This window comes from Homo sapiens, chromosome 2, assembly GCF_000001405.40.
Source record: "Homo sapiens chromosome 2, GRCh38.p14 Primary Assembly".
NCBI classification, from domain to species: Eukaryota; Metazoa; Chordata; class Mammalia; order Primates; family Hominidae; genus Homo; species Homo sapiens.
The window spans coordinates 55,633,141-55,646,523 of NC_000002.12; the positions used below are offsets into that span (position 1 = coordinate 55,633,141).

At 39.2% G+C, this 13,383-nt stretch overlaps 1 protein-coding gene across 3 annotated transcripts in view; it reads right to left on the reverse strand.

The window, feature by feature from the left end:
* PNPT1 (polyribonucleotide nucleotidyltransferase 1) overlaps positions 921-13,383 on the reverse strand; it is a 59,784-nt gene continuing 47,321 nt past the window's right edge. For all 3 annotated transcript variants that reach the window (XM_017005172.2, XM_005264629.3, NM_033109.5), the window contains 9 exons: positions 13,275-13,346; positions 13,119-13,182; positions 12,209-12,292; positions 11,497-11,580; positions 10,179-10,285; positions 10,018-10,073; positions 7,487-7,565; positions 4,412-4,459; positions 921-3,252 (listed from right to left, as the gene is read on the reverse strand). In XM_017005172.2, coding sequence (XP_016860661.1) covers positions 3,097-3,252; positions 4,412-4,459; positions 7,487-7,565; positions 10,018-10,073; positions 10,179-10,285; positions 11,497-11,580; positions 12,209-12,292; positions 13,119-13,182; positions 13,275-13,346 — 750 coding nt within the window. In that variant the 3' untranslated portion in view covers positions 921-3,096. The remainder of the gene's footprint in view (positions 3,253-4,411; positions 4,460-7,486; positions 7,566-10,017; positions 10,074-10,178; positions 10,286-11,496; positions 11,581-12,208; positions 12,293-13,118; positions 13,183-13,274; positions 13,347-13,383) is intronic.

The following is a 13,383-nucleotide window of genomic DNA, read 5'->3' on the forward strand; positions in this document are numbered from 1 at the left end:
GCATATAATATAGCCGTCATAGAAAAACTTCATTGGGGCCAGGCGCAGCGGCTCATGCTTGTAATCCCAGCACTTTGGGAGGCCGAGGTGGGCAGATCACAAGGTCAGGAGATGAGACCATCCTGGCTAACATGGTGAATCCCCGTCTCTACTAAAAAATACAAAAAAAAAATTAGCCGGGCATATTGGCAGGTGCCTGTAGTCCCAGCTACTGGGGAGGCTGAGTCAGGAGAATGGTGTGAACCCGGGAGGCGGAGCTTGCAGTGAGCTGAGAATGCACCACTGCACCCCAGCCTGGGCGACAGAGCAAGATGCCATCTCAAAAAAATAAGAAAAAATAAAATAAAAATACAAAAATTAGCCGGGTGTAGGGCACCTGTAATCCCAGCTACTAGGGAGGCTGAGGAAGGAGAGTTGCTTGAACCTGGGAAGTGGAGGTTGCAGTGAGCCAACATTGCGCCGCCGCACTCCAGCCTGGCAACAGAGTGAGATTCTGTCTCAAAAAAAAAAAAAAAAAAAAGAAAAGAAAGAAAGAAAGAAAGAAAAAGAAAAACTTCATTGGAAAGTAGGGAAAACTACCAACATTTAAATGAAGACAAAAATAAGAAAAGTTCAGACATAAAGTGTAGGCTCTTGGTTTAAGCAGAAATGGTGTTCTTTTGGTGGTTTGCAGTTAGTAAGCTGTATTTGTACTTTGTGTCAGTTCAGGTTTCTGGAGTTTGTTTAAGAACTGGCTTCATTTTCCATATTATTAGGAGTTGGGAGTTCCTTTGAAAAAGAAAACAGAAAATTTAAGAAAAACACAAATTGCAATTTTGAAATTCTACCATTAAGGATGATATCTTAAAATAAGAATTATGTCTTAGAAAGCAGAAGTGAGAATAAAAACTTTTGTTACTGTTATTAAATAATAGTCGATATCAAGTGTAGAAAGCAAATAAATTTAATCTTTCATTTTCAATTAATCTTTAATATTTCAGAAGTATATCAACATTGCCTAACATGCTATTTTACACACAATAGATATATAATCAATGTTTATTGACTTAAAAATCTTTGGTTTAGCCAGATAAATTTGTAATATTTTATGAACTAGTTAACCCTGAGTCATGAATTTACCTTTTTTTTTTTTTTTTCTGGAGACGGAGTCTTGCTCTGTCGCCCAGGCTGGAGTGCAATGGCGCAATCTCGGCTCACTGCAACCTCCATTTCCCAGGCTCAAGTGATTCTCCTGCCTCAGCCTCCCGAGTAGCTAGGATTACAGGTGCCTGCCACCATGCCCAGCTAATTTTTGTATTTTTAGTAGAGATGGGGTTTTACCGTGTTGGCCAGGCTGGTCTTGAATTCCTGACCTCATGTAATCCACCCGCCTCGGCCTCCCAAAGTGCTGGAATTACAGGCATGAGCTTCTGTGCCCACCATTTTTTTTTTTGAGATGGAGTTTTACTCTTTTTGCCCAGGCTGGAGTGCAGTGGTGCGATCTCAGCTCACTGCCACCTCTGCCTCCCAGGTTCAAGAGATTCTCCTGCCTCAGCCTCCTGAGTAGCTGGGATTACAGGCGCCCGCCACCACACCCAGCTAATTTTTGTATTTTTAGTAGAGATGGGGTTTCACCATGTTGGCCAGGCTGGTCTCGAACTCCTGACCTCAGGTGATCTACCCGCCTTGACCTCCCAAAGTGTTGGGATTACAGGTGTGAGCCACCATGCCTGGCCAGATATACCTACATTTTTATAAGATTTAAAATTTTTTTTAGAGATAAGAGTCCTGCTATGTTGCCCAGGCTGGAGTACAGTAGCTATTCACAGGTATGATTGTTGCACACTACAGTGTCGAACTTCTGGGCTCTAGTGACCTTCCCACTTCAGCCTTCCAAGTAGCTGGGACTACAGGCACGTACCACTGAGTCCAGTGTATTTTTATAAGATTTTAAAAAAGATTACACATTCTAAATTATGACGTCCACATACCATTTACTTTTCTGTGGAATTATAAGGTGATATTTTAAATGATGGGAATGAACAACTTGACATGTGTATCAGTAACCTCTAAACATCTATTTCAAACATCTATTAACCGAAAGTCATGATCCTTCAGCTCTTATACTAAGAACTTCCATACATTAGAGCAATACACATATTCAAATTGACCTAGTTCAATTTGATAAGTAAACAATTTTTTTTTTTTTTTTGAGACGGAGTTTTGCTCTTGTTGCCTGAGCTGGAGTGCAATGGCGCAATCTCGGCTCACTACAACCTCCACCTCCTGGGTTGAAGTGATTCTTCTGCCTCAGCCTCCTGAGTAGCTAGGATTACAGGCATGCGCCACCACGCCCGGCTAATTTTTGCACTTTTAGTAGAGACGGGGTTTCACCGTGTTAGCCAGGATGGTCTCGATCTCCTGATCTCATGATCCGCCTGCCTTAGCCAATAATCTTTCTGTTTAGGTAAATTTGAAAAATATACATCATTACTACCACATTCATCCTAGTTAGAATCTCATTTATATTTATTCCACTCTGTTTATGATTTGGTAACTAATTTGAAAGGCATTATATTATCAAAAGTGTATCAGATTAGCTCCCTCAACTCACTATATCTGTTAACAGTTCTGAAGAAATAGGCACTGGCTTTGAATATGGCCTGTTCCAGTTTGTGAACCGTTGTAGGCAAGTAAAGTTGTTGGGCACAGAGGTGACCTGTAGGATGACTGAAGGTAAACTGTCACTACTGTATACAAAGAAGAAAAATAAGATGTAGGAAGAGATCTGTTATAATAACATATGACATATTCTATCTAAGTTTTTCATATATTTCAGAATTGTAAAAACAAAACTATGTAATTTTTTCTAAGATGTATAAATGACTTACTTTTAATAATAAATATTTCTTGATTTATAATGTAAATACAATTAAACAAATATGGGTTACTCGAATTAAAAAAATGGCACATGTAAATGAGCATTTTAGTACAAATAATTAAAATGTATTTATATTATATAGAAATCTACACAATGGAAGATACTACTAAAATGTTGCTCTACAGCACATCACCCTAGACAAAATAGAATTCTAGAATTCTCTTTAAAAAAAAAAATCACTGAGAATTAGATGATGACTGTGAAATAGGTTCTCCCATTACAATACTACTTCTGTCATTCAAAGTTCTGACCACGGTTGTAGCTGGCGACTGAAGCACTTTTCGAGAAAGCCTCATTCTTCCATCGGCTGGGTCACGTCCAAAGTATTTCACCTGTGTTAAAGAAACAGATCTTCCTTTAAAGTTACAGCACATTGAGTGACATCTAAACTAATAGACATTTAAATTTACATGGTCCAAATAAGGCAATGATTGTTTTTACTTGTTCACTGAAAGCATTGTTCAGTGCTAAGTGGACGTATACACTTAACACATATAAGTAGTCATTATAAAAGAGAAAAGAGACGGGGCAGTTAGTTGTTCAACTATAATCTGCCGCTGAACTCATCTGTGCCTTTTTATTCTCACCAGGCCAAGTCCTTATACTGGGGGAACAGTCACAGGCATAGTGAATGATCCTAGACAAGGGCTTTGAGAGCCTAATTGTGTTATATACTATAGAGGATTATGCTTAGGTCACTTGGATTTTCACTACTGCTCAAAGGACCAACACATTAGTGTTTATTTGGCTTCACCTTGGAAAATGAAAGTCAGGGGCAAATGCAAAGGTTTAAAGTTCCTTCTGATGTGAAAACAACAACAACAACAACAACAACAAATAAACCAAAAAATCAACCTTATACAGAGATACTATATCTTAGCACTCATCTTCCCCTGGAGGCTACTTGGACAATAAGACTACACATTGGGAATAAACCAGAAGCCTTAGTTACTCAGGTCATGCGTATTAGCGTAAGTGAAAGACAATGTGGTGGAGCCCGAAAAAACAGACTGGCAATGACTTCTTTCATCCACTCATAAAGGACTACAAAGAAAGGGCCAATTTTGTTATATGAATTCTAGGCCTGAATAACATGGCTCTTACCAAGCTCAAAAACTTTAAGTAGTGGAGAAACAAAGTCTCACCTCCTCAAAGATGACATTCAAAGACTTTAACAAGTTACCTTATCACAGTTCTTACGTCAGTGCCCAAATCATGGAGTCTGCATAGCTAACACTAACATGCTCATGTATTTTTTAAACGAACTAAGGGTGACTACCATTTTGGCCAAGCTGCAAGCTCCTTGAGGGAAAGAATTGTGTCTTAAATCCTTAATGAGTCTGTTCAAGCAATTCTAAGATTAAAAATGAAGTACTGCATACAAATAAAAAACTTCATAGATGGTGACTCTTCTTTCAACTTTTTGAAAAAAACAATGGAAGCTTCAAGAACAATTTACAACTTCAAGGCTAAAAGGTGGAATACAAATACCTGAATTTCTTGGCCAACTTCTAATCCTAGGGCAGTAGGATGTTTAATCTGGAAAAAAAAATGTTAATCTATTAGTTGTTGTGCATAATTATGTAGTGTCCATGGAAGTACACATTTTTTCCTCAAGCTTTATTAGTTTTTCTGATTAAAAAAATCAGTTAGCGGCTGGGCGCAGTGGCTCAAGCCTGTAATTCCAGCACTTTGGGAGGCAGAAGCGGGCAGATCAAGAGGTCAGGAGATTGAGACCATCTCTGGAGGTCAGGAGAGTGAAACCCCATCTCTGCTAAAAATGCAAAAAATTAGCCGGGCATGGTGGCGGGCGCCTGTAGTCCCAGCTACTCAGGAGGCTGAGGCAGGAGAATGGCGTGAACCCAGGAGGTGGAGCTTGCAGTGAGCCGAGACCACGCCATTGCACTCCAGCCTGGGTGACAGAGAGAGAATCCGTCTCAAAAAAAAAAAAAAAAAATCAGCTGGGCATGGTGGCTCACGGCTGTAATCCCAGAACTTTGGGAGGCTGGGGCAGGCAGATCACTTGAGCTCCGGAGTTCGAAACCAGTCTGACCAACATGGTGAAACCCTATCTCTACTAAAAATACAAAAACTAGCTGGGTGTCGTGGCACACGCCTGTAGTCCCAGCTACTTGGGAGGCTGAGGCAGGAGAATTGCCTGAATCTGGGAGGCAGAGGTTGCAGTAAGCTGAGATTATGCCACTGCATTCCAGCCTGGGCGACAGAGTCAGACTCTGTCTCAGAAAAAAAAAAAAAAATCAGTTAATTATAAAGATTTAAAATACAGATGTATTAAGAACATAAAAATTATCCAAAACAGGCTGGGTACAGTGGCTCACACCTGTAGTCCCAGAACTTTGGGAGGCCGAGGTGGAAGGACTGCTTAAACCAGACTGGGCAACGTGAAGAAACCCCATCTCTACAAAAAATCCAAAAAAATTAGCCGGGTGTAGCGGTTTGTGCCTGGGGACCCAGCTTCTCCAGAGGCTAAGGTGGGAGAATCACTTGAGCCTGGGAGGCTGAGGCTGCAGTGAGCTGTGATCATGCCACTATACTCCAGCCTGGGTGACAGAGCAAGACCCTGTCTCAAAACCCTCTCAAGTTGTAGATAACTACTGCTAACATTCCAATGAGTATCCCTTCAGATGTCTACTTAGTGTATGTGTACGGCATTTATAAAAATGGACCCTCTGTGCTTACTGTATATCTTAAGGACATCTTTTTTTTTTTTTGAGATGGAGTCTCGCTCTGTCATCCGGGCTGGAGTACAGTAGCATGATATCCGCTCACTGCAACCTCTTCCTCCCAGGTTCAAGAGATTCTCCTGCCTCAGCCTCCAGAGTAGCTGGGATTACAGGTGCACGCCATCATGCCCAGCTAATTTTTTCTATGTTTAGTAGACACGGGGGTTTGCCATGTTGGCCATGCTGGTCTCAAACTCCTGACCTAAAGTGATCCGTCCACCTTGGCCTCCCAAAGTGCTGGGCTTACAGGCGTGAGCCACTGCACCTGGCCCAAGGACATCTTTTCATATCAATAAATTAAGAATTACCGTTAAGTTTCAAACTATATAGTTTATTTAAACAATCACCTAAAGACAATAAATTGCTTTAAATTCCAGTGTTGCAAATGTTAATGACTGATGAATATAGGAGAAAGATATATGAGGGTTTAGTGTATCATTCTTTCAACTTCTTTGTACATTAAAAACTTTTCAAAATAATAAGGTGAAAAAAAATAAGTTGCAGTGTAGCACAAATCATGAATTCATCTACTCTAATTATCCTCTCCAAATAAAATCCTACAATGTCTAGGTCCATAGACATTTACCAAACACCCTCTAAAAAGTTTGTCCCAATTCACACCCCCATCAACAGTGTATGAAAATGTCCATCTTTTCTCTTATACACACTGAGAATTTTAAACTATCTGAAAGTTAAAACTGATATCTTAATTTCATTTGCATTTCAAAAATTGCTGTTGATATTAAATATCTTGGTTGGCTTTTTATAAAAATAATTTGTTCATGTTCTTTACTTATTTTTCTATTGATATTCATCATTCTTACGGATTTATAAAAGCCCTTTGTAAATTAAGCTTCTGCATATAAGCATTTTTACTTTAGGTTGCTGATTATCTCTTAACCTTATTGAAATTTTTGCCATATAATTAAAAAATTATGGGGTCAAATTTTGTAAGTTTATTTACTTTTTTGGCTTTGATATCATGTTGAGGAGTTCTCCACTACTAATCTTATTAAAACATCCAATTTTCTTCTAGTAAACCCTCCTGCCCCAACAAGATTATCTTTTCCTACCACCTTTTTTAAAAAGCACATTTAGCTCTTTGATCCAGACAGGATTTAGGTATAAAAATGAGTAGAGATCCTGTTTTAAGATAACCAGCTGTACCAATATAATTTATTAAATAATCTTTATTCACTGACTATAATACAACTTCTAGCGTATATTATAATCCCATGTATATTATTTCTAGTTTTTGTTTTCTTGTTGCATGGATTATCTATTTCTGGGCCGGTAATATACTATTTTATTGTCTATGGCTTTATAATATATTTTAATATATGGTAAAACAGACACTCTTTTTTTTTTGAGACAAAGTCTCACTCTGTCGCCAGACTGGAGTGCAGTGGCACAATCTTGGCTCACCGCATCCTCCGCCTCCCGGGTTCAAGCGATTCTCCTTCCTCAGCCTCCCGAGTAGCTAAGACTACATGCGCACGCCACCACGCCCAGCTAATTTTTGTATTTTTAGTACACACTGGGTTTCACCATGTTGGTCAGGATGGTCTCCATTTCTTGACCTTGTGATTCACCCGCCTCGGACTTCCAGAGTGCTGGGATTACAGGCATGAGCCACCCTGCCCAGCCAATTTTTCTTTATGCTAAACAATGTAAAACTTTTTGCCAGCAGCATCTCTGCCACTTGTTTTCTCTGTTTAGGCTAGTAGTAGGCAAAGTGTATAATTCTTACCAACCTAGGTAATTTCAATACAGTGTTTCAAGGCAGTTATAAAAATAATAACAATAACATCTGTCTTTTTACCTTTCGTTGATCAAGTTGTGTGTTATGAAGCAGTACCGCAGTCATATTTGGATATAATTTTACCATTACACCAGTATCTCTACAAAAAAATAAATAGTAAGCCTGGTTAAAATAATAAGTATCTGTATATCCATTGACAAATAAAACATTGTTTTCATATGAGGAAAAAGTAAAAAACGAAAAGAAACAATTCTAGCACGTTTTTAGAACTATAAAAAGTATACTTTTCAACTGAAAATATACCCTATAAATAAATATGTGTGAATCAAAGAATGAAGAAAAGATAAAGAAAAAACATGCAATAGAAAAGCTTTTAGAGCCAGGTGCGGTGGCTCACACCTGTAATCCCAGCACTTTGGGAGGCCAAGGTGAGCAGATCACGAGGTCAAGAGATCAACTCCACCCTGGCCAACATGGTGAAACCCCGTCTCTACTAAAAATATAAAAATTAGCTGGGCCTGGTGGCGCGCACCTGTAATCCCAGCTACTCAGGAGGGTGAGGCAGGAGAATTGTTTGAACCCGAAAGGCGGAGGTGGCAGTGAGCCGAGATCGTGCCACTACACTCCAACCTGGCAACAGAGTGAGACTCCGTCTCAACAAAAAAAACTTTTAGAATATATGTTCTTCTGTATTTCTCTTAACAATTTCCAAAAACATTTTTTTTTTTTTTTTTTTTTGCCACCCAGGCTGGAGTGCAGTGGTGCCATCTGGGCTCACTGCAACCTCCGCCTCCCAGGTTCAAGTCATTCTCATGCCTCAGTCTCCCAAGCAGCTGGGATTACAGGCATGTGCCACCATGACCAGCTAATTTTTGTATTTTTAGTAGAGATGGGGTTTCACGAAGTTGGCCAGGCTGGTCTCGATTTTCCAAAAATTTTCGAAATGACATTAAATATTTTAAAAATAGTATAGAATCTCATATGATTAACCTGTAAGGTAAGGATTTAAGGAAGGTGGTCAGGTAAAATGGAATACTTATTTCATTAAAAAACTAATCTTCCCTTTTTTCTCTAATCTATGAAAATAAGCCATCCCATTTCTTATTTTTCACCTGCAATATTAAACAAATTATCTCCTTGCCTTTTATTTTATTTCAAATAGCTTTGAACATTTTTGCTACATTTGATAATTTCCTTTTTCTTAAAAGAGGGATTTTCTTATCCTAAAAAAACAAGCTCTTCTAGCTGGTCAAAAAAAATGCTTTGAGACTGAAATTGGCTTTTTTTTTTTTTGAGATGGAGTCTCGCTCTGTCGCCCAGGCTGGAGTGCAGTGGTGCGATCTCATCTCACTGCAACCTCTGCCTCCCGGCTTCAAGCGATTCTCCTGCCTCAGCCTCCTGAGTAGCTGGGATTACAGGCATGCACCACCATGCCTGGCTAACTTTTGTATTTTTAGTAGACATGGGGTTTCACCATGTTGGTCAGGCTGCTCTCGAACCCCCCACTTCCTGATCCACCTGCCTTGGCCTCCCAAAGAGCTGGGATTACAGGCGTGAGCCACCATGCACAGCCGAAATTGGATTTAAAAATATGTGCCAATTAAGCATTCAGATATGTTTAAAATAAGCCATCAAAAGAAAAAAAAAGAAATAAAGAAATATTGCTAAGTCTATTTTGGGCCTATTTAATATTTACTGGGAAAATTAATTTGGGGTTTCACCAATTACTAGTAGAAAATTTGGTTAAAGAATTCAGTTGGCCGGGCGCGGTGGCTCAAGCCTGTAATCCCAGTACTTTGGGAGGCCGAGGGGGGCGGATCACAAGGTCAGGAGATCGAGACCATCCTGGCTAACAAGGTAAAACCCCGTCTCTACTAAAAATACAAAAAATAATTAGCTAGGCGTGGTGGCGGGCACCTGCAGTCCCAGCTACCGGGGAGGATGAGGCAGAATGGCGTGAACCCGGGAGGCAGAGCTTGCAGTGAGCTGAGATCGCACCACTGCACTCCAGCCTGGGTGACAGAGCGAGACTCTGTCCCAAAAAAAAAAAAAAAAAAAAAAAAGAATTCAGTTAAGAGAACCTATCATAATTAGAACCACAGAACTGCTACTTTAATTTTATAAAATGATATAGAAAACAAAATATACTATACCTTAAAAAATAATGATTATATGGCAATTGGCATGTAATCTAAACACCTTATGATTTCAAAGTAAATGTAAAATTAAATTGGGATTATAATAGGAATCTGTTAAAAACCAAAACAGGGCTGGGCACGGTGGCTCATGCCTGTAATCCTGGCACTTTGGGAGGCTGAGGCAGGAGGATGGCTTGAGGCCAGGAGTTTAAGACCAACCTGGGCAACATAGTGAGACCATGTCTTTACAAAAAAATTAAAAAATCAGCCACGTGTGGTGGTGTGTGCTTGTAGTCCTAAATAGGAGGCTGAGGTGGGAGAACTGCCTGATCCCAGGAGTTCAAGGCAGCTGTGAGGTACAATGGCACCACTGTATCCCACTGTGGGTGGCAGGGTGAGACCCTGTCTCTAAAGAAAGGAAAATGCTCAGCATAGTATATTACTTGATATTACCTGATTTCAGTTATTGTGGCGGTATATACTGCTCCAAATTCTAATTGCTGCTCCTGCTGTAAGTGCAAAATAAGCCATAAGATTCATAAAGAAAACATCAACAAAAAGTAGAAAAAACAAATATAGCTATATGATACGTAATTAATATGATCTATACTTACATCATCCTTGCAGATTTCAGTAATGAAGTCTCTTGCCTCATGCATAGCACTGGGTGTTGGTGCAAATACAGAAAACGTTTCTTCATCCACCTGACTAATAGTTACACCTTTTAAAAACAAAATGTAACATATTAAAGTTAACTTGGCTGGGCATAGTGGGTCACATCTGTAATCCCAGCACTCTGGGGGGCTGAGGTGGGAGGATCACTTGAGCTCAGGAGTTCAAGGCCAGCCTGGGCAACATAGGGAGAGCCTGTTACTACAAAAAATAAATTCAAAAATTAGCTGGACCTGGTAGCATGTGCCCACCTACTTGGGACTCACAGTCGGGAGGATCACTTGATCCCAGGGGTCAAGGCTGGAGTTAGCTGTGATTGTGTACTGCACTCCAGTCTGGGTGACAGAGCAAGGCCCCATCTCAAAAAAAAAAAAAGTTAACTTGCTCATTCCAGTGGAAACTCGTCTTAAAAATAGATGTGAGAATAGGAGGGACCTATTAGTAGCTGGGTGGAGTTATGCTGTATTTAATCATTACTTTAGGAATGAAGGAATTCATTCATCAACAAATACACTCTGCATACTTGCTAGGTACCTGGCATTATACTAGGTAGGCCCTGGGGATACAATGGTGAGCCAATATGCTTGATTTCTTGAAATTCACCATCTAGTGAAATCAAATATATCTATACAAATTTTGGAGAGTCTGGTTCTGCTCTCTTAATTACGAGTAGAAACTATAATAGAACCCTTTCCTTACTTTTTTTCTTTCTCCCGCTTACTCTTACGAGGGGTGAATAAATGAATAAGGGACAAAATCACATCAGTTTCTCAGTGTTAGCAAATGGCTAAGGTGACAGTGCTTCTCACTCTCTTGCAGTAACCTCAAACCTTGAAGTACGAGGTAATTCAAACATTGCTTCAGGAAAAATAAATTAAAGCTTTTTTTTATATACTCTTTAAATAAAAGAGTTAAAATAAAACTAAGTGAAAGTAGCAGAATAAAAAGAAATAACTAAGTAATAATTCCTCTAAAGTTAAAAACTAAAAATTATTCTAGATGTTCAACTATAAAATGTTGCAAAAAAGTCCTGATGAATTCTTTGTAATCCTTCTTGAATTTAGTTAAGAATGACCATTTGCTAATTTATTAATAGGCACACAGAAAACTCACAGTCAAGACACGTCATATCCTTTTCTCCTGGTCTTTCTCTCATTTCTCAAATAAATATATATTTAAAGCAACATACTAGAGATGAAATAGCAAACTTTTATGGTCTAGCATTTAATTAAAAAACCCCAAACTTCATACAACTCTTACCTGTTTCAGCCTGAAGTTTTTTTAAGTTATAGCCACCAGGTCCAACAAATTTTGCTCGTTTTGATAATGGAACCTGAACAGTTTCTGGAACGTAATACAGACAAATATATAAACAATTCAACTACATACATGAACCTAAAACATGCCATGGTCACTTGAGATTTTTTTTTTTTTTGACCTAGACACATGTAAAAATATTTTACTATAAAACAGAAAAGTAGATGATTAAAATTACTGAAAACTGTTAAAGAATATTCCCTAAAATTTAAAGCATTTTAACTACAAAAGTATTTAAAATATTTTCGTTTTGTGCACTGGGTAAAAACAATTTAAAAGCAGTAATATTCATTCATATATTAATGTTTATCTTACCATGATCACTAAAATTTTTTTTTTTTTTTTTTTGAGACGGAGTCTCACTTTGTCGCCCAGGCTGGAGTGCAGTGGCGCGATCTCGGCTCACTGCAAGCTCCGCCTCCCGGGTTCATGCCATTCTCCTGCCTCAGCCTCCCGAGTAGCTGGGACTACAGGCGCCCGCCACCACGCCCGGCTAATTTTTTGTATTTTTTAGTAGAGACAGGGTTTCACCGTGTTAGCCAGGATGGTCTCGATCTCCTGACCTTGTGATCCGCTCGCCTCGGCCTCCCAAAGTGCTGGGATTACAGGCGTGAGCCACCGCGCCCAGCCGATCACTAAAATTTTAATGTATTACCTACAACAGGTCCATTTTCTTTTCTAGATGCTCGAGGTTTTGAAATAGTTTTGTTCATGATCTGTAATATCTCCTTTTTTGCCACTAGAAGAGAAAAACACAAAAATTATAACTACATAAAACAAATATGATCTGAAATACTGTACTCTTAGTTTTCACGGTATACAATCTAAACCCTGTAGCTTAATAATTGAAGCTTTCCACATCCCTATTACCTTGAAAATTCACTCATATTCTCTTCTCCAAAAATCCCATCTTAAATAGAGTTGTTTAATTTGTAAAAATTGAAATTTCACTGGTAACCCACTTTGGCGTGTATTCATGTGTCCCAAAAACTTAGTTGTGCTTCTTCTTTTTTTAAAATAGATATGGGATCTCACTACGTTGCCCAGGCTGGTCTTGAACTCCTGGGGCTCAAGCAATCTTCCTGCCTTGGCCTCCCAAAGTGCTAGGATGAGCCACCATGCCATGCCTGGCTACTTAGTACTTCTTTTTTTTTGAGACATTTTCCCTCTGTCACCCAGGCTGGCGCGCAATGGCATGATCTCGGCTCACTGTAACCTCTGCCTCCTGGGCTCAAGCGATTCTCTTGTCTCAGCCTCCTGAGTAGCTGGGATTACAGGTATGCACCACCATGCCCGGCTAATTTTTGTACTTTTAGTAGAGACAGGGTTTCACCATGTTGGCCAGGCTGGTCTCGAACTCCTGACCTGAAGTGATCTGCCTGCCTCGGCCTCTCAAAGTGCTGGGATTACAGACATGAGCCACCACACCTGGCCAGTACTTCTTGATCTAAGTTATATGAAATTCCACTTTTTAAAGCAATATTTTATAATAAGCCTAATGAGAACTATAGTTCCCATTAGCAAAGTGGAAAAGAATGAAGGGAGAATCAAGCACACTAGCTCACCTGAAGCTTGTTGAATAGCCTCCATCACAATTTTTATTGGTATTCCAGGTAATTTAATATCAGCCTAATATGGAAAAGTCAAACAATTATATAAATATTGACTCATGGCATTATTTAAATGTTACAAAAATGAAACAAAATGGGTTTTAAAAATACCTGTAATGCAGTTATTCCTTTATTAGTGCCAGCTATTTTGAAGTCCATGTCACCATTGTAATCTTCAATTCCCTTCAGGAATTTAAAAAGTTATGACATAGTTTTAAAC